The sequence below is a fragment of the Homo sapiens genome, chromosome 19 (assembly GCF_000001405.40).
Source record: "Homo sapiens chromosome 19, GRCh38.p14 Primary Assembly".
Taxonomy (NCBI): Eukaryota; Metazoa; Chordata; class Mammalia; order Primates; family Hominidae; genus Homo; species Homo sapiens.
In genome coordinates this window covers 4,085,589-4,105,443 of record NC_000019.10, presented here as the reverse complement: position 1 = coordinate 4,105,443, position 19,855 = coordinate 4,085,589, and the positions used below count along the sequence as shown (strand labels likewise).

Below are 19,855 nucleotides of genomic sequence, written 5' to 3'. Positions count from 1 at the left end.
ACAAAAAATTAGCCGAGTGTGGTGGCGGGCACCTGTAGTCCCAGCTACTCAGGAGGCTGAGGCAGGAGAATGGCGTGAACCCGGGAGGCGGAGCTTGCAGTGAGCCGAGATGGTGCCACTGCACCCCCGCCTGGGCAACAGAGCGAGACTCCGCCTCAGGAAAAAAAAAAAAAGAAAGAAAAATGTGTTCACCTACTACCTACGTAACAAAATTACAGTTACAAGACCATTTTAAACATCACACACACACACACACACACACACACACACACACACACACACACACACGGTAGACGTGTATGGTCATGCACAGAGTGAGATTTGGGGTCAGCAGTACACAGCTGCAATACCCCCTGCACCACATCCTGTCTCTGTGACTCAGACAAATTGCTTACCCTGCCAGACTTTGGTCTTTATAGCTGGAGATCAGCCCTTCTCAACCAGGGGCAGTTCTCCCTCCCAGGAGACACCTGGCACTGTCTGGGGATGTGTGTGGTTGTCACAACTGGGGGATGCTCCTGGCGTGGAGTGGATGGAGGCCAGGGACGCTACTCAGCGCCCTGCAGTGCCCAGGTCGGCCCCACCCCAGAGAGTGACCTGGCCCCGATGTCACAGTGGAGAAAGGCGGCTGCAGAGAGAGCGATGCTCCTGTGAGGCGTCTTCCACCAGCTCCTGAGGCTGCAGCACAGCGCTCCGCCCGCCCTCATCTCCGGGGAGAGGCTCTTTGAATTTTCTCACTAAACAAACATTGATTGCGGCCCCAGGAGAAACGAAGACGGAAGGAGCTGTGCTGGGGAGCAGGGGTTTTAGGGTTGCGTTTGGTGCGTCTGTTTGGTTTTCGCCACCCTGCCTCTTTCGAGTCGTTGGTCTCTTTCTGGTTTTTGTTTTTTTGAGACAGGGTCTTGCTCTGTCACCCAGGCTGGAGTGCAGTGGTGTGATCTCGGCTCACTGCAACCTTGACCTCCCAGGTTCAAGGGATCCTCCCACCTCAGCCTTCTGAGTAGCTGGGACTACAGGCGTGCACCACCACGCCCGGCTGATTTTGGTATGGGGTCTCACTGTGTGGCTCGGGATGGTCTCAAACTCCTCAGCTCAAGCATTCTTTTTGCTTTGGCCTCCCAAAGTGGTAGGATTATAGGTGTGCGCCACCACGTGCGGCTTTTTTTTTTTTTTTTTTTAATTGAGGAGTCTTGCTCTCTCGCCCAGGCGAGAGAGAAGTGGCACGATCTCGACTCACAGCAACCTCTGCCTCCCAGGTTCAAGTGATCTTCCTGCCTCAGCCTCCCGAGTAGCTGAGATTACAGGCATCCACCACCACGCCCAGCTAATTTTTTTTATTTTTAGTGGAGATGGGGTTTTACCATATTGGCCAGGCTGGTCTCAAACTCCTGACCTCAAGTGATCCGCCTGCCTCAGCCTCCCAAAGTCCTGGCATTACAGGCGTGAGTCACCGCTCCCAGCCCATGTCCGGCCTCATTTTAAGTAATTCTTTTAAGGTAGATTGATAAAAACTGAGAATAGAAGCAGCTTCCACCTGGCCCTGGCTCACTGGAGCTCCCGTCCTGGCACCTCCTCCTGGGCTGTCTGAGCCCTGGCCATACCTGCCCTCTCACCCTGTGTGTCTGCGTCTTCAGCCTGGAGCTGGTGGATGGAGTCACGTGTATGCTTTAGAGGTCTCAAAGCGTGTTGGGTTTTCTAGAACTGCCTTCGGCCTTTCTCTCCAAGCCTAGCTGGGCAGAAGTGGCCAGAGAGCGGCAACCCGGGCACCCCTGAGTCCCAGGATTTCTCCCCCGGCTCCTCCCACCCATGTGAATGAAAGCCATCCCAGGGAAGGCTGGGCTTTTGCAGGAGTCCTGGAGCAGCATGGTGGGGAAATCCAGGCTCCCCAGCCAGCCTCTCCAGGCTCCTCCAGCCCGCCCTCTCTAGCCTCAGTTCCACTTTCCTCTCTGCTGAGCACAGAAGAGACGCACGCCAGACGGTGGCAGTGGGAACTTGGCCTGTCACCCCTGCTGTCCTGGGGGTGGCCTGGCAGGTGTGTCCGGAGCCTCTGCCTCTGAAGAGGCACCTTGGGTGGCTCCCAGTGCCTGGGGTTTTGGCATTTGGGGGTTTTGGTCCCCAGGTTTGTTGCCAGGCAGCCTTGGGCAAGACATGGAATTTCTGTTTCATCATTTATGACATGGATGTGGGGCCACACCCGGGGACCAGCCTACCCATGATGACTCGTTTCCAGGCCCTCCGCAGGATGCCCGGCACAGTGGCGAGGAGACCACAGGCTGTGGGGAGGGGCCGAGGTTACCGTCACCTGGGCTGGCGTCACTGGGATCCCTCCTGCAGTCCATGCACCCCCTGGCCCCTGGTCCTACTCGGCCTGGCCTTTCTGCCCTAGGTGGCAGGGACAGGCGCAGGGCAGACGCCCAGCAGTGGAGCCGCAGGGCTTGGCGAGGGAGCCCCCTGGGGGTCTGGACGGGCACACAGCGACCCGCCGCCTCCTCCCACGCGGGGCAGCACCCGCGTCTCCTCCGCGCCCTCACCCTCCCCTTCCCTTCGTGTGCTGGGAAGAGGACGCAGGCCCAAGACGCTGGTCTCCAGCCTGGCCGCCTCCCGTGGCGCACAGACAAGCCCACCACGTAGGCTGCAGGGAGTGCGGGCCCCACAGCTGCCTGAGCCCCCGGCCGCGGCTTGGGCTGGCCCGGAGCAGAGCCTCTGCCGTGGCGACCTCAGGAGGGCCGAGTCACGCAACTGATTCGAGGATGGGACGGGAGGCGGGGGAACCCTGGGCCCTGTTCCTTCCCCACCTTGTGGGTGGGTGTTCAGACCCAAAGGCAGAACTGTCAGAAGACGCCCTGCCCTTGGCCCGTGGGTGGAGTTGGGCTCCGGCCCCTGCTTCCCGTCAGGAGGCAGACCACCCCCTCGCCGGGAGTGGGGGGACGCATCCGTGGCTTCCCGGCCACCTGCGCAGAGCCTGCACTCACTCCTTGTGTGCCCTCTAGGACGGCGGCTCCCTGGACCAGGTGCTGAAAGAGGCCAAGAGGATTCCCGAGGAGATCCTGGGGAAAGTCAGCATCGCGGTGAGTCCACCGCAGACCCACATCGCGCCCCCACCGCACTCTGCACGGACCTCTTCCACACGGCCAGGGTTCCGGGAGCCACTCACAGTGTGGTGGGGGTTAGGGTGGCCCCTGCAGAAAGAGAGTGGCCAAGGCTGTGCCCACCTGCTGTGGAGCTTGAACAAGTGACGTCCCTTTTGGGGCCTGAGGTCACCATCTGCCAAGTGAAGACGTTATAGGTCCCTCTTCACTCTTAGTATCCTCTGTTTGCCACACTGGTCCCCTCTGCCCCTCGTGGCAGGGGGATGTTGGCAGCTGGCACGTTGCAGGGGACAGGAGCTTGTTGAAAGGGAGACTCTGGGGTGGGATGTGGGACGCCAGGACCTCCAGACACACTCACCATTGCTGTTAGAAATGTCACCGGGGCCAAGGGCGTCTCTGCTGCCCGGTCTCCAGCACAGCTGCTCCGTAGAGCCGTGTGGTTTCAGCAGACCGTGCGTGTTGCTTCTTGGAGCTTGCACCTTGTCCATAGCAGGGGCCGAGTCCCGCCTGCCCATACCAGTGTTGGATTAAGACACAGGACGCATGCTGCCAGACACGCGTTTCCGAGTTGAAAGCTGCCGTCACACTGCCTGTGCTGCTTGCTTCACTTCTCGGGATGCTGCTTCCAGGGCGGGCCTGGGGGAAACATCGTCCTTCCCAGGCACCCTTAGCCCGTCCCATCTGGGGGCCCTTAGCACAGTCCCTGGGACCCCAGATGCTGCCTTTCAGGCTGATGTGGGCAAACTCGGCAGCCCAGCCTACTCCCGGGCCATGGGCCACCATCTCAGCTTCCCTGGGGCTAAGCCGTGTGCTCTGAATCAAAGGCAGTAGTGGCATCGGCGGCACTGCGGCCATGGGAACCGGGGTTGACTTGCACACGCCAGCACAGGGCTGTCAGCACTGTCTCGTCTCTGGCCTCGCTTGCTCCACCCCAGCGAGCTCCTCACAGCCTGAAATGGTTCCTGCCGCAGCTCCCTCGCTCCAGCTCTGACTGCTCAGCTCTGACCCCCGGGCTCGGTCAGGAGCTAAGCCCTGGTGGCCTTGTCCCGTGACTCCCTCCGCGCTCCCCTGCAGGTTCTCCGGGGCTTGGCGTACCTCCGAGAGAAGCACCAGATCATGCACCGAGGTAAGGCCCAGCCCGCCCTCCCCAGAGCCCCGGGGGCCGGCAGGCAACTGTTGGGCGCCCCTCACCCGCAGCCTGCCGCCTCCAGATGTGAAGCCCTCCAACATCCTCGTGAACTCTAGAGGGGAGATCAAGCTGTGTGACTTCGGGGTGAGCGGCCAGCTCATCGACTCCATGGCCAACTCCTTCGTGGGCACGCGCTCCTACATGGCTGTGAGTCCCCGCTGGCTCTCCCCTCCAGCTCTCCTCCCTGCTGCTCTCCCCCAAGCTCTCCCCACCCAGCTCTGCCAGCCAGCTCTCCCCCTCAGCTCTCACCCCCATGTCTCCTGCGCAGCTGTCCCTCCCAGTTCTCCTGCGCAGCTCTCCCCGCCTCCCACGAGGCTTTCCCAACTATTTCGTGGGCACACACTCCTACATGGCTGTTAGCACCCCCGGGACAGTCCCACCCCAGCTGCACCCTCCCCTTCATCAGCTCTCCCCACTTGCCACAAGGCACGTCTAAAGCTGGTGCCTCCTGGGAGCCTGCTTTTCGGATTCCCCTTGCTCTTTATTTTTTATTTGTTAATTTACTAATCTTTTGTAGACACGGGGTCTCGCTGTATTGCCCAGGCTGCTCATGAACTCCTGGACTCAAGTGACCTTCTTTCCTCAGCCTCCCAAAGTGCTGGGATTCCACTAGCAGTGAGCCTGAGCCACCACGCCCGGCCAGATCTCCCCTTCCTGTTGGAATTCTCTCTTAGGTTTTTGTCTCTAGCAGTGCCTACCAGGTTTCTTTCTTTTTTTTTTTTTTTTTTTTTTTTTTGAGACAGAGTCTTGCTCTGTCACCCAGGCTGGAGTGCAATGGCACAATCTTGGCTCATTGCAACCTCCGCCTCCCACCCGGGAGCAATTCTCCTGCCTCAGCCTTCCAAGCAGCTGGGGCTACAGGCATGTGCCACCACAGCTGGGTAATTTGGTTTTTGTTTTTGTTGTTGTTGTTGTTTTTTGAGACACAGTCTCACACTCTCACCCAGGCTGGAGTGCAGTGGCGCCATCTCCGCTCACTGCAAGCTCCGCCTCCCGGATTCACACCATTCTCCTGCCTCAGCCTCCCGAGTAGCTGGGACTACAGGCGCTCGCCACCACGCCCGGCTAATTTTTTGTGTTTTTAGTAGAGACAGGGTTTCACCATGTCAGCCAGGATGGTCTCAATCTGACCTTGTGATCCGCCCGCCTCGGCCTCCCAAAGTGCTGGGATTACAGGCGTGAGCCACCGTGCCCGGCAGCCTTGGCTAACTTTTAAAAAAATGTTTTTAGTAGAGATGGGGTCTCGCCATATTGGCTAGCCTAGTCTTAACTCCTGGGCTTCCACCTCAACCTCCCAAAGTGCTGGGATTACAGGCATGGGCCACTGCACCCGGCCCTTAGTTAATTTCTGGACCAAGGAATTGGAATCTGGGGTCTTTCAGGAAACGACTGGGGATTCAGCAACCTGCCAAATTGAGCCTTGGAGCAGCCTCTGAGATGTTAGCTGTGGAGGAGGAGGCCCCTGCTTCCTGGGGCCCATCATCCATTCCCAAAAGTGCTGAGCATTGCAGGCTCTTCAAGAGCTGCGGTCAACACCAGCTCCAGGCCTCGGGCTGGAAGCCTCTTCAGCAAGTGCCGCAGGGAGGCCCTGGGTGGGTGAGCCGGGAGGTAGAATTGCGTAACAGCTCTCTATCCATTGCTGCGGTCATTAGCCATGGAGAGGGTGACGGGGGCTGTAACGGGGCAAGCCTCCCGGGTTCCAGCTGCCATCCTCGCCCCTCTGGGCTCTTTCCTCCCTGGCTCTGCTGCAGCCGGAGCGGTTGCAGGGCACACATTACTCGGTGCAGTCGGACATCTGGAGCATGGGCCTGTCCCTGGTGGAGCTGGCCGTCGGAAGGTACCCCATCCCCCCGCCCGACGCCAAAGAGCTGGAGGCCATCTTTGGCCGGCCCGTGGTCGACGGGGAAGAAGGAGAGCCTCACAGCATCTCGCCTCGGCCGAGGCCCCCCGGGCGCCCCGTCAGCGGTACGGCCTGAATCTGCAACTTCCGGTCTGGACGCGCAGTGCCCTGCGCGGGGCCTGCTGTGCCAGGGTCAGCAGCTGCCTCCCCTCTGCCCCTGGCGCACCACCTGTCCCCCTGGATGGTGCCGACTGTGGTCAGCAGTCCTCCCATGGTCCTGGGGTTTCCGGGGACAGAGCTGGAAGCAGTGAGCACCCCAAACCTGTTCTGTCCGGGGCAGCTGCACCTGTTGTTGCCAGCTGGAGGGATCTGGGAGCGCAGCTTTGCCACCAAGCCCCTGGGCAGTTGGATTTTCCAACATTTTATCCCGAAAGCATTCAAACGCACAGAAAAGTGGAAGGAATTGGCCGCCACAGAGCCTGCATTCTGCAGGTGACACGCTCCTGTGCTGCGGGCCAAGCCTTCCAGGGAGTCCTGAAGTGGAGATTGGACTTGGCATGGCCCTCAGTGGCCTGTTGGCTCCGGCCCCAACACACACAGGAGGGGACACAGCCCGGGAGGGGGCGGGAGGGCTCAGGCCCCAGGGACAGCTGGGCTCGCAGAGGACAATCCGGCACTTAGGGCGGGCACCTCGGGAGCGGGAGCTCCCTGACGCCAGTCAGAGAGGGCCGAGCGGACACTTCCACCGCCTGAGGGAAGAGCCGGGGGCGGACCCTGCTTGGTGCAGAATCACAGGAGGGTCCTGTGATTTTTTTTAAAGTCAGACATCAGGGAGAGTTGGTGGCGTCAGACCCCAAAGGACCCTGTAGCGGACTGTGGTTGGTTTTAAAACCATGTTTCCGAACTACAAAGCACACACCCCACAACTCATTTCAGGTGAGCAGTTCAGTGGTTTTCAGTCACAGTGCTGCGCCCCATCACCTCTAATTCCAGAACCTTCTCAGCTCCCCAAGAGGAAACCCTGTCCCCATCAGCTGTCACTCTCCATCCCCTTCCTGCCTCTGGACTGGCCTGTCCTGGGCATTTCACAGAAATGGGGTCACACACTTGTGTGGCCTTCTGTGTTTTGTGTGTGGCTTCTCTCCTGGAGCGCAGTGTCCTCAAGGGTCATCCACGCCATGGTGCGTGTCAGAGCCTGGGTCCTTTTGAAAGGCTGAGTAGTATTTTATGACACGAACAGGCCACGTTTTGTGGTCCTACCCGGATGGATTGGGGCTGTGAGAAGGAGATTTTCATAGCACTGGCAAGCCCACCTCCTCCTCTCCAGCCAGACTGCTGGGATGTCTTGATCTCATCCCAGGGAGAGGCCCCCAAGTCCTTATCCTCAGGCCTAGCCTCAGCCTCTCCCAGTCCCAACTCTCAGGTGGTATACCATCCCCAGCCCAGGGCCCCAGCCCACCTGCCCATTTCAGGACGGGCAGAAGGCGAAAGTCCAGCTGCCAAGCCCAGGCCTGGCCAGCTGGTTCTCAGACAGGGGTCAGCCACCCCTAGCCAGTCTCCCGTCCTGAGTGGCACTTGGGGCCTGCCCCCATCACCGCCAGCAGCTCCATGCAAGGTCACGCGGCTGTCCTTGCCTGCGGTCAGCACCGTCCCTCCCCCTGCCCTCCAGAGAGGAGGGGTGATGACTTTGGCACGTCCGGCAAGCCTCACCGAGCCAAATGTGTGACTTCTCAAAAAATGTTCTTGTTCCTTTTGCCTTTTTTTTAATTCACTAGAGGCTCAGGCAAGGAGTAGCTGTCCCAGGGAATGGAACCCAGAGTCAGGCAGGGGAGCTTTGTCCAGTGCCTCTGCACACCCGCCTCCAATTTAGGCTGGCATGTGGAGGAGGGCGCCTGGTGGTGATCAGCCCCCTGGGAGCCCAACCCCCAGCAGAAGTGAGGTGGCCATCGGCCCATCTCACCTCCATCTCTCTCCCTGTGCAGGTCACGGGATGGATAGCCGGCCTGCCATGGCCATCTTTGAACTCCTGGACTATATTGTGAACGAGGTTTGTGCTTGATGCCTTTTGGCTTTTCTTTTCCTTTTCTTTCTTCTTTCTTTTTTTTTTTTTTTTTTTTTTTAGGCAGAGTCTCTCTCTGACCAGAGCAAGAGTCACCAAGGCTGGAGTACAGTGGTGCCTTCTCGGCTCACTGAAACCTCCACTTTCCAAGCTCATGTGATTCTCGTGCCTCAGCCTCCCGAGTAGCTGGGATTACAGGTGCGCACCACCACACCCAGCTAATTTTTTTTTTTTTTTTTGAGACATTGTCTAGCTTTGTAGTGCAGTGGCTTGATCTCAGCTCACTGCAACCTCCGCCTCCCAGGTTCAAGCAATTCTTGAACCAATTCCACGTGTGTCGCGTCTCCCATCTTCTACTGTGCTGCACAAGCCCAGCTCCTTCCCAAGGGCATTGTTTTTTTATGAAGACGAACCCAGAATTCCCACCGCAGCCTCTCACCCTGAGTCCAGAGGGAGGTGTGTGCCAGCAGCCCTGGGCTCAGGCCGAGGAGCCAGCCTGCCCCTTGAGCAGTGGCCCAGTGTCTCTGCATCAGAGCGTCCTGGCGCCCGTGGGCGTGGACTCATAAATCACCCCGCTTCCACGGAGAAAGGTACAGGAATGGCCCTTGCCTCTTGGAAGGAGGCCCAGAGAGCCTAGAAGGACCTGTAGGTCCCGGGGTGGCTCCTGCTCCGTCAGTCCCCATAACAACCCAGTGAGCCACAGTATGAGGGTTTCCACCGCCCAGATGAGTAAAACAAGGCACAAGGAGGGACGCGGCCTCCTTCCAGGCCTGCAGCTGTCAGGGAGGCACAGGACTGCACCCCAAGGTCCTGTTGGCCACGTGACCAGGCCGGGCCACCTCCCTGGGCCTTCTGTGGGTTTCTGTGTCTTTGGTGGCCCTTTGGAGCTGGGGCAGAGAAACGGGCATTTGAGCTGCCTGCAGACTGGGCTAGGCCTGGGGTTGGGTGGCGAGATGATGACGGAGCCAGGTGGGGTGGCCCTGGTGACCCAGCTCTCCCTGCACCTAGCAGCCACACCCATGCCCAGTGAGCACATCCCCCGACCTCTCCCCCGCCTCTTCCCGCCCCTGCCCCTGCGCGGGAAAGGCCTGCCCCTGCCCTGCTGGCACCGCTTACACGGCCACTCCCGCTCCGGGGACGTGTGTCAGGCCAGGCTCCCCAGTGCTTGGGCTTAAAACTGTGGACCCAGTTTGGCCGGGCACGGTGGCTCAGGTGTGTAATTCCAGCACTTTGGGAGGCCACAGTGGGTGGATCACCTGAGGTCAGGAGTTCGAGACCAGCCTGGCCAACCTGGTGAAATACCGTCTCTACTAAAAATATAAAAATTAGCCAGGCGCAGTGGTGGGCACCTGTCATCCCAGCTACTCAGGAGGCTGAGGCTGGAGAATCCCTTGAACCCCGGAGGTGGAGGCTGCAGTGAGCCAAGATCACGCCATTGCACTCCAGCCTGGGCAACAGAGCGAGACTGTCTCAAAACAAAATAACTTTGGATCCAGATGTCCCTCTGTGGGGCCCAGTCCCAAAGCTCATCCTTCAGCCAGTGACACTGGGGAAGGAAGCAAGTGACGACACTCGAGAGGTTGTCCTGTTGATAAAAGGGGGACGCACCCCACTCTTTCCCTCTAAGCAGCCGTGACTCTCAAACGAGAGCTTTCGGGAGAAGGCCACCTCTGACAGGGTGCAGCCCAGTTGGCATGTGGTGTCGGCCAGGCCTGCAGGGTGGGTGACCGGACAGGACAGTGAGGGGTAGAGAGGGCTGCAGCCGAGGGTCCCTGACGATGCCCAGGGCTGACCCCACCCTCTGTTCTCCTCCACAGCCACCTCCTAAGCTGCCCAACGGTGTGTTCACCCCCGACTTCCAGGAGTTTGTCAATAAATGGTAGGTGGAGCCGGGCTGCCCACACCCCTGGCCGGGACCCAGATGTGCCACTCCTTCCGGGTCCTGGGTGGGGCCCGTGGCCCAGCCTGCCCATCCAGAATCCCAGTGCAGCGTTAGGCAGGACTCAGCCCAACGGGAAGCCAGATTCCTTTTCCCAGAGCTGTGGGGCTGCAGCTCCCGGCTGCCATGCCATCCTGTCCGTGAGCCCAGGGGTGAAGCAGGATTGCAGGCCCTGTGCACATGACGGTGTCCCCAGCTCACTGTCTGCAGCAGGAGAAGCCTCTGTCTGGTCCCCGGACCCCTGGTGTGCTGACTGTGGGCTCCCCGGGATCCGCCCGCAGGTTCTGGGAGGGTCGCCAGCCCCACTCCATTCTCCTGCCCCCAAGCACCCAGCAGCACCTGTGGCGTGGGCTTCACAGGCATGTGCCGCAGACCACGGGGAAGGAGCTGCGGACACCCCGCTGCCCACAGGGCCGGTCCATGTGTGTGAGCTCGGGACGCCGTGGAACGGCACCGCACTCCTGGTGCCGGAGTTGCCCCGGGCCCTTGGCGTGCGCTCCGGCGATGTTGCCCCGGGCCTGGGGTTTTATTAGACAGTTAGCTGGGGTTGCGTCCAGGCTTCTGACCCACCAGGCGGGGTTTCCCACCCTCTTTCCCTCTCACCCTCCCGCTGGGGGGTGTCCTGCCCCTGGCACCAAAGTGCAGAGGTGGATCCCTCGTCCTCTGCCAGGAGGCAGAACAGAGCAGCCACTCTGTGCCACTCTCTCTGGTCGGAGAGATCCAGGCCCCCTCCGACCACGGCCCACACGCGGGTGCCCCGGGGCCACCAGCTGACTGCCCTGTCTTGTCTCCTCCACCGCCTCCCGGTCCTGCCTCTTGGAACCCCCAGCCTCATCAAGAACCCAGCGGAGCGGGCGGACCTGAAGATGCTCACAGTGAGTGATGCCAGCGGGTTCTGGGACCGGGAGGGTGCAGGCTGCCACCCAGGCCCCAGGAAATAAGGCTGCTGGGCCTGGCCCTGCCCGGGGAGCCAGCACCTGCGACCAGGATGTGGGCAGGCCGGGTGTGCCAGGCCACGCCGAGGACCCTCTGTGGGTCTCTCTCATCCATGAGAGAAGCCATCCTGGGCTGGCTGCGGGGAGCAGAGGGTGTGTGCGTGGGAACAGCTCTGGGCTCTGAGCTCCGCCGCTCCTGCCTGGTGCTGGTCCCGCACCCACAGGATGAGACCCCGGGCTTCTTTGCCCTCATGAGAGGCTGGAGGCAGCTCTCAGCCCCCCAGGCTCCTTTCCCTGCAAACTAGAGGGTGACCATCCCTGTTCTGCACACTGGCAAGCAGGTCCCCCGAGGCCGTGCGTACTTCGGTGTCCCCTTAAACCCCCATCCTCTGATATCCTCGGAAGCCCAGCTGTTCACCAAAACTCGCCTCCCCAGCGGGGACTACACCCTCAGAGGAGGGCCCCGGGCATCATCCTCCTGCCCTCAGCCCAGCCTGCATCCCGAGTGCTTTCCCATACCACAGCCACCGTCAGCGACCTTCAAACCCCTCGACAGCTGATTGGCGGATTGGAGATGCCACCCCCCTAGACAGCCCGTTACTTTCTGTGCCTGTAAGAAAAGAAGAGATGCCAGCTACAGACACCCAACCGGGTGCCTTCTAATACTGGAATGTGGCTTTCAGTTTTGTTTTTTTCTTGAGAGTCGGACAGAGTCTCACTCTGTCGCCCAGACTGGAGTGCAGTGAAGCAATCTCAGCTCACTGCAGTCTCAGCCTCCCAGGCTCACACAATTCTCCAGTCAGCCTCCCAGGTAGCTACGATTACAGGCACCCGCCACCACACCCGGCTAATTTTTGTATTTTTAGTAGAAACAGGCTTTCACCATGTTGTCCAGGCTGGCCTCAAACTCCTGACCTCAGGTGATCCACCTGCCTCAGCCTCCCAAAGTGCAGAGATTACAGATGTGAGCCACCGCACCTGGTCAAAAAAATTTTTGAGATACAGCCTTGCTCTGTCCCCCAGGCTGGAATGCAGTGGTGCGATTGTAGCTCACTGTAGCCCCAACTCCCGTGCTCAAGTGATCCTCCCACTCAGCCTCCTGAGCAGCTGGGGCTACCGATGTGTGCCACCAAGCCCAGCTAGTTTTTGTGTGTGGGTTTTGTTTTTCCCCGCAAAGATGAAGTCTCACTCTTGTCACCCAGGTTGGAGTGCAGTGGTACGATCTCGGCTCACTGCAACCTCCGCCTCCCAGGTTCAGGGAATTCTCCTGTCTTAGCCTCCTCAGCCTCCTAAGTAGCTGGGATTACAGGTGGCTGCCACCACGCCCAGCTAATTTTTGTATTTTTAGTAGAGATGGGGTTTCCCCGTGTTGGCCAGGCTGGTCTCGAACTCCTGACCTCAGGTGATCTGCCTGCCTCAGCCTCGCAAAGTGCTGGGATTACAGGCGTGAGCCACCGTGCCCGACCTGCCCAGCTAGTTTTTTTTATAGAGACAGGGTCTTGCTAATTGTCCAGGCTGGTCTCAAACTCCTGGGCTCAAATGATTCTCCCACCTTGGCCTCCCAGAGGGCTGGGATTACAGGTGTGAGCCACTGCACCTGGCATGTGTGACTTTTTTTCTTTTTTAATGAGGCAGGCTGGGCATTGTGGTGGGCACTTGGAATCCTAGTGCCATAGGGGGATGGCTCTCTGAGGCCAGGAGTTCAAGGCCAGCCTGGGCAACATGGTGAGACTGTGCCTCTCCAAAATAAATAAATAACTAAAAAGAGAGGGGTACTAATGTTGAAATAACTTTTTTTTTCCCTCAGACGGAGTCTTGCTCTGTTGCCCAGGCTGGAGTGCAGTGGCGCAATCTCGGCTCACTGCAAACTCCATCTTCCAGGTTCAAGCGGTTCTCCTGCCTCAGCCTCTCGAGTAGCTGGGATTACAGGCTCGTGCCACCACACCCGGCTAATTTTTGTGTTTTTAGTAGAGATGGGGTTTCACCATGTTGACCAGGCCAGTCTCGAACTTGTGATCCACCCACCTAGGTCTCCCAGAGTGCTGAGATTATAAGCATGAGCCACTGGGCCTGGCTGAAATAGCCATTTTTGAACCAGCTTCTTAAAAATGCTCCCCTGTTGGGTATCCTGGACCTAGCCAAGATGTGTCCTATCAAGTTGGTTGGTTTTTCACCCATACCTACACCGACTTTTAGGAAGATAGGCACCTTGGCCTGCCTCCAGCTGCAAAAGAGGCAGCATTCAGGGGCCCAAGGTCCTGGACACCACCCTCCTGGGAACCCCAAAGGCCTCTACTCACCCACTGTGGGGTGGCCCAGCACAGCCTCTTCCCCAAGGGCACCCGCCCTCCTCCCCCAGCCCTTCCAACCAAGAGGCTTCTCATGTTGTGCTGTCCTGTACAGGAACCGCTGGTCACACGTGGCTGTTGAAGTGTGTTCAGTGGGGCCGGGCACAGTGGCTCACACCTGTAATCCCGGTACTTTGGGAGGCCGAGGTGAGCGGATCATTTGAGGACAGGATTTCGAGACCAGCCTGGGCAACATGGAAAAACCCGGTCTCAACTAAAAATACAAAAATTAGCTGGGCATGGTAGCACGCACCTGTAATCCCAGCTACTTGGGAGGCTGAGGCGGGAGAATTGCTTGAACCTGGGAGGCAGAGGTTACAGTGAGCTGAGATCATACCACTGCACTCCAGCCTGTGCGACAGAGCAAGACTGTCTCAAAAAATAAAAATTAAGGCCAGTTGCGGTGGCTCACACCTATAATCCCAGCACTTCGGGAAGCTGAGGCAGGAGGATCATTTGAGTTCAGGAGTTCGAGACCAACCTGGCCAACATGGTGAATCCCCGTCTCTACTAAAAATACAAAAATTAGCTGGGTGTGGTGGCACATGCCTGTAATCCCAGCTACTGGGGAGGGTGAGGCAGGAGAATCGCTTGAACCCGGGAGGCGGAGGTTGCAGTGAGCTAAGATCACACCACTGCACTCCAGCCTGGGCAACAAGAGTGAAACTCCATCTAAAAAAAAAAAAAATTAAAGTAAAAGTATTTAATTAATTTGTTAAACTGAAATAAAATTGAGGCTTTTGTTCTCAAGCCATGGGAGCCACAGTCCAGGGGCTCTGGAGCCTCATGTGCTGGCGAGTGGGACGGTGCCTGTACAATGCTCTTCGCGGAGTTCTGTGGAACAGCCCGTTCTTGCCTGGGCTGTCCTGCTCCGGGGGACCCTGGCAATGGCTGAGGACATTGTGGTGTCACGACTTGGGGAAGCCCCTGGCATGGAGTGGGTGGAGGCCAGGGACGCTGCTCAGTACCCTGCAGTACCCAGGATGGCCCCACGCCAGAGAATGATCCGGCCCCGGTGTCCACAGCGGCCGGAGGACCCTGGGCTTGCGCGAGCGTAGACCCTCCCCTGGGAGCGCAGGCTGCCGTGCTGGTGGTGTCCCCGCCCCAGGTGGAGTGCAGCATCCTGAGACCCCTCCCAGGCCTGGCACACGCCGCTGCCCCTTTCTGGGTTTCTTTCCCTCTCCTACCCCGAGTGCGTCTTCCTGTGGGGAAGGGAGGGTCTCCTCTGTTTTTTGCTTTCTGTCCCGTACCATCTGCCAGGGCTGGGCAGACGCTGGCCCTCCCCGTCCTACTGTGACTCCAGGCCCGGGTGCTCACGGCTCCCCTTTCCTTGCAGAACCACACCTTCATCAAGCGGTCCGAGGTGGAAGAAGTGGATTTTGCCGGCTGGTTGTGTAAAACCCTGCGGCTGAACCAGCCCGGCACACCCACGCGCACCGCCGTGTGACAGTGGCCGGGCTCCCTGCGTCCCGCTGGTGACCTGCCCACCGTCCCTGTCCATGCCCCGCCCTTCCAGCTGAGGACAGGCTGGCGCCTCCACCCACCCTCCTGCCTCACCCCTGCGGAGAGCACCGTGGCGGGGCGACAGCGCATGCAGGAACGGGGGTCTCCTCTCCTGCCCGTCCTGGCCGGGGTGCCTCTGGGGACGGGCGACGCTGCTGTGTGTGGTCTCAGAGGCTCTGCTTCCTTAGGTTACAAAACAAAACAGGGAGAGAAAAAGCAAACCGCGCCATCCTGCTTCTTTCTTCCGTTCGGCGTTGGGTGCTGGGCTTTGCTTCAGCCCAGCACGGAGAGGACATCCCTGAGCTGACCCGCATCGCCGGGCGCCGAGGCTGGAGGGCGCAGGGCCCTCCCTTAGGGAGAGCTCGCCTCTCCCTTTGGGTCAAGGGATGAAGACCTGCAGTGAGCCCCCAGGCGATGGCGGCTCTCACCAAAAGGAAGGAGAGTGAGGCTGGGGGCGGCGGCTCATGCCTGTCATTCCAGTGCTTTGGGAGCCTAAGGCGGGAGGATCGCTTGAACCCAGGGGATTGAGGCTGCAGTGAACCTCGATGGTGCCAGTGCGCTCCGGCATGGGTGACAGAGCAAGGCTACTGAAAAAAAAGAAGGGAAATGCCACCTGGTTTCCCTCTGTGTCCTCCCCGCCACCATCTCTGCCCCTGTGGAAGGCAGAGCTTCGGCCTTCCGTGATGGAAACCACTTCCTCTACACTGCTCCTGTCACGTAGCCTCCGCGGGAAGGCCGCCCCTGCCTCTTCCCCAGCGTGGCACCATCCTCTCCCTGTCCCCCCGCTTCAGGGAGTGGGGGCTCCCAGCAGTGGCAGCTGAGCTGAGACTCAGCCCCACAGAAAGGAAGCGCTGGCTTTCCAAGCTGTCGGTTTGGTTGGAAACCCCAGCAGGTCCCGAGACACGCCCTGCACTCCCCCTGCGTCCGCAGCAGGCCCAGCCCAGGGCGGGTGGTTCTGTCACCTCTCCTCGCCCAACAAATCAGAAGTGACCACCAGGGCATGTGACACTTTCGGGCCTTTGAACTGTTCCGCCGCAGTGGGCTGCAGATGAAACGGTGAGGGCTTGTCCTGGGGTCTTCGGGGTTCCCGGAGGCCCATCGCCTGCTTCTCCGGTTGTCCGAGATCCAAAGCCCAGCCTTTCTACCTTCGGGACTGTGTGCTCGGATAGAGGAGGCCACCTCTGGGCTAGGTGTGGTGGGCAGCTGGGCTGTTCTAGGGTCCCTCTGAGCTCTCTAAAGCTCTTGAGGCTGTGAGCCTCCCCCTTCAGTACTTCCTGGAGACTACCAGCAAGCTGATATTATCTGCGGGCGAATTGTAGGGGAAGGGTGGCTGGCAACTGTGTTTCTGGAGGAAACAAAGCAGAAGGTGGGGGCTTGTGGTTCTGTGGGAACTGCTGGATTGTCCTTTTCTTCTTAGGGTGACCCTTCTAGTCTTGTGTGGCTTTTTTTTTTTTTTTTTTTCTGCAGACACCAAAGAAGAGATGAGTTGACACCTCCTGCAAACAGCTCCCCAGGCTGCTCTCCTTTATGTTTTGCCCTAAAGTCTCACATGACTTAAAAAAAAAAAAAAAAAAGCCAGGCTTGGTGGCTTACACCTGTAATCTAAACACTTCGGGAGTCCGAGGCAAGAAGATCACTTGAGCCCAGGAGTTCAAGACCAGCCCGAGCAACATAGTAAAACCCTATCTCTACAAAAAAAAAAAAAAAAAAAAAAAAAAATTGGCCGGGCATGGTAGTGCACAACTGTAGTCCCAGCTACTCAGGAGGCTGAGGCAGGAGAATCACCTGAGCCTGGGGAGGTGGAGGTTGCAGTGAGCCAAGATCTCACCATCACACTCCAGCCTGGGCGACGGAGTGTGGCCCCAAAAAATAAAAAATAGGAGAAAAAAAAAAGTGTTGAAGGTGCCGCCCTGTGGGTAACCAGGACCCTCAGGATTGCCGGGAGGGCCGGGGGGAATGTGTTGGCTGCCTGTGCTCCAAACCGGCGGGACCTCGGCCGGTCCTGGAAACCCCAGGGTCCCGGCCACCCCCTGCCATTGGCAAGGAATGAAAGGACACGGAGTCCCAGGGGAGCAGGGGCAGTCTGGGCTAGGTGGGGATGGACCCCGCGCCAGGATCCCTGCGGTGTGCGCAGCCATCCTGCAGCTTCATTGGAGCCCCACGGCACCCCAGAGGGAAGGACGGGAGAGAAGCCGTGGTCTTGCCTATCTTCCCTGCCTCGCTTCAGGGTCAGACTTCTAGAAACTACTTTGTAGATGTGGCAAGAGTGCGTCCACCCTGGCGGTTTCTAGATCTCTCAACTCCTGCTCCCCCAAGAAACCTCCCAGACCCAGCCGCCGCCTCATCCGAGATCCCCCTCCTGCCTGCTGTCCTTTGGACTCGTTGCCTCATTTTCTCCACTGTGGAGGCCTGGGAAGGGATCCCGGGTGCTCCCAAAGGTGGCTACACACCTGGGGATGCCCCTTTTTGCCCTGGCCACGGACATGCTGCAGTCCAGGGGGTAGGATTTCCCTGCCTCCCGGGGCCAGACCCTTTCCTGTAAAACATGCAGCATTTTAAAATTTGCAGGGCATGGGCTGGGTGGCTCACGCCTATAATCCCAGGACTTTGAGACCAAGGTGGGCAGATCACCTGAGGTCAGGAGTTCAAGACCAGCCCGGCCAACACGGCGAAACCCTGTCTCTACTAAAAATACAAAAAAAAGTTAGTCGAGCTTGGTGGTGGATGCCAGTAGTCCCAGCTACTGGGGAGGGTGAGGCAGGAGAATGGCGTGAACCTGGGAGGCGGAGCTTACAGTGAGCTGAGACTGTGTCAGTGCACTCCAGGCTGGGCGAGACAGCGAGACTCCGTCTCAAAAAAATAATAAAAAATAAATAATAAATAACGTTTGCGGGGCTTTAGGGTGAAGGGAGTGTCACTGAAAGCCAGGCCTTGGGGGGCCCTGGGGCAGCTCACTCCTTGACATTGGAAGGTTTTACACAGACGTGTTGAGGTTTTCTGTGGTTATTAAAAACCTCCAGATAGGCCGGAAGCGGTGGCTTATGCCTGTAATCCCAGCACTTTGGGAGGCCAAGAGGGGCGGATCACGAGGTCAGAAGTTCGAGACCAGCCTGGCCAACATGGTGAAACCCTGTCTCTACTAAAAATACAAAAATTAGCCAGGCATGGTAGCACGCCTGTGGTCCCAGCTACTCAGGATGCTGAGGCAGGAGAATCGCTTGAACCCGGGAGGCGGAGGTTGCAGTGAGCCGAGATCGCGCCACTGCACTCCAGCCTGGGCGACAGAGCAAGACTCTGTCTCAAAAAAAAAAAAAAAAACTTCTCGACAACATGATAGCCCTGCCCCCATGTCTGAGGCCCACGTGGACCTGGGGCACACCACCTGTGGCCCCAAGAAGACTCCTACAGTGTTTTGTCGGCTGTTTTCCCAGCTCGGTATTTTTTTTTCCAGACAGAGTATTGCTCTGTCGCCCAGCCTGGAGTGCAGTGGCATAATCTCAGCTCACTGCAACCTTCACCTCCCGGTTCAACTGATTCTTGTGTGTCAGCCTCCCGAGTAGCTGGGACTACAGGTGCCCACCACACCCAGCTAATTTTTGTGTTTTAGTAGAGACAGGGTTTCACCATGTTGCCCAGGCTGGTCTCAAACTCCTGACCTCAAGCCGTCCACCCGCCTCGGCCTCCCAAAGTGCTGAGGTTACAGGCGTGAGCCACCACGCCCACCCCCCAGCTTGGTATTTTCATCGTAAATAAACAGCGCTTGACTTGCTCATATGTGCTGGCTTCTGCCTCCGGAGAGCATGGGCAGCCCTGACATCCCTCTCCATAGTGCAGTCTGTCCCCGGACACACCAAAAAGTCACTGGCTCCATGCAAGTGCCCCAGGCTGTGTGCCGGGCAGGATTTGCTAACATATTTGATTTATGAAGCTGGGGTCACAGGCGACTGCCTGCTCGCTTCATCCTGTGGAATTCTCCCCAGGTGGGACCCAGGCCGGCCCTGGGACAGGCACATACTTCCTTCTCCTCCTGCAACAACCGCCTCGGGGTGGGGCAAGTGGAAAGGTCATCAAATGAAATGAGGCCGGAGAAGCAACCAGCCGCCCAGAGGGTGAGATTCCACGCGGGGCACCACGCCATAGCGTCCCCGTCCTGTCCCCATCCCTGCCACCCCAACCCAATGTGCACATTGCACCCCAGACGAAATGTACATTTCCCAGTTTTAGCAGGATTTCCCTGTTAAAACATTTTAAATAGAAAGGGCTGGGCACAGTGGCCCACGCCTATAATCCCAGCACATTGGGAGGCCAAGGCGGGAGGATCACTTGAGGTCAGGAGTTCGAGACCAGCCTGGGCAACATGGTGAAATCCCATCTCTACTAAAAATACAAAAATTAGCCAGGCATGGTGGCGGGCGCCTGTAATCCCAGCTACTAGGGAGGCTGAGGCAGGAGAATCCCTTGAACCTGGGAGGTGGAGCTTGCAGTGAGCTGAGATCATGCCACTGCACTCCAGCCTGGGCAACAGAGCGAGACTCCATCTCAAGCAAACATAAATTAGCCAGCGTGTTCACTTAAACCCAGGAGAGGAAGGCTGCAGTGAGCCAAGATCGTGCCACTGCCCTCCAGCTTGGGCGACAGAGCAACACTCTGTCTCAAAACAAACAAACAAACAAAAATTAGCCGGCCTGTTCACTTAAACCCAGGAGACGGAGGCTGCAGTGAGCCAATATCATGCCACTGCCCTCCAGCCTGGGTGACAGAGCGAGACTCTGTCTCAAAAAAAATAAATACCGTTCTGGTGCAGGGGCTCATGCCTGTAATCCCAGCACTTTGGGAGGCCAAGGTGGGTGATCACCTGAGGTTAAGAGTTCAAGACCAGCCTGGCCAACATGATGAAAGCCCATCTCTACAAAAAATACAAAAATTAGCTGGGCATGGTTGTGGGCACCTGTA

At 58.4% G+C, this 19,855-nt stretch overlaps 1 protein-coding gene across 3 annotated transcripts in view, besides 3 other annotated features; it reads left to right on the top strand.

Moving 5' to 3' along the window:
• MAP2K2 (mitogen-activated protein kinase kinase 2) overlaps positions 1-15,123 on the top strand; it is a 33,802-nt gene extending 18,679 nt beyond the window's left edge. The window contains exons 1-9 of one of the 3 annotated variants that reach the window (NM_001440689.1): positions 2,238-2,627; positions 2,991-3,068; positions 4,164-4,215; positions 4,301-4,425; positions 6,030-6,243; positions 8,101-8,165; positions 9,995-10,056; positions 10,946-10,991; positions 14,736-15,123. In NM_001440689.1, the coding sequence (NP_001427618.1) occupies positions 4,206-4,215; positions 4,301-4,425; positions 6,030-6,243; positions 8,101-8,165; positions 9,995-10,056; positions 10,946-10,991; positions 14,736-14,846 (633 nt within the window). In that variant the 5' untranslated portion in view covers positions 2,238-2,627; positions 2,991-3,068; positions 4,164-4,205 and the 3' untranslated portion in view covers positions 14,847-15,123. Of the gene's footprint in view, positions 1-2,237; positions 2,628-2,990; positions 3,069-4,163; positions 4,216-4,300; positions 4,426-6,029; positions 6,244-8,100; positions 8,166-9,994; positions 10,057-10,945; positions 10,992-14,735 lie in introns of those variants that run through there. The other 2 variants (NM_030662.4, NM_001440688.1) reach the window with 2 other exon arrangements.
• Positions 14,934-15,710: an enhancer, noted in NCBI's record as "H3K27ac-H3K4me1 hESC enhancer chr19:4089732-4090508 (GRCh37/hg19 assembly coordinates)". NCBI's record gives its function as "activates a minimal SCP1, AML or CMV promoter by ChIP-STARR-seq in primed H9 embryonic stem cells {active_cell/tissue: H9 hESC(primed)}" and the evidence as "EXISTENCE:reporter gene assay evidence [ECO:0000049][PMID:30033119]".
• Positions 15,499-15,578: an enhancer, noted in NCBI's record as "active region_13756". NCBI's record gives its function as "activates an Ori minimal core promoter by ATAC-STARR-seq in GM12878 lymphoblastoid cells {active_cell/tissue: GM12878}" and the evidence as "EXISTENCE:reporter gene assay evidence [ECO:0000049][PMID:35858748]".
• Positions 15,989-16,158: an enhancer, noted in NCBI's record as "active region_13755". NCBI's record gives its function as "activates an Ori minimal core promoter by ATAC-STARR-seq in GM12878 lymphoblastoid cells {active_cell/tissue: GM12878}" and the evidence as "EXISTENCE:reporter gene assay evidence [ECO:0000049][PMID:35858748]".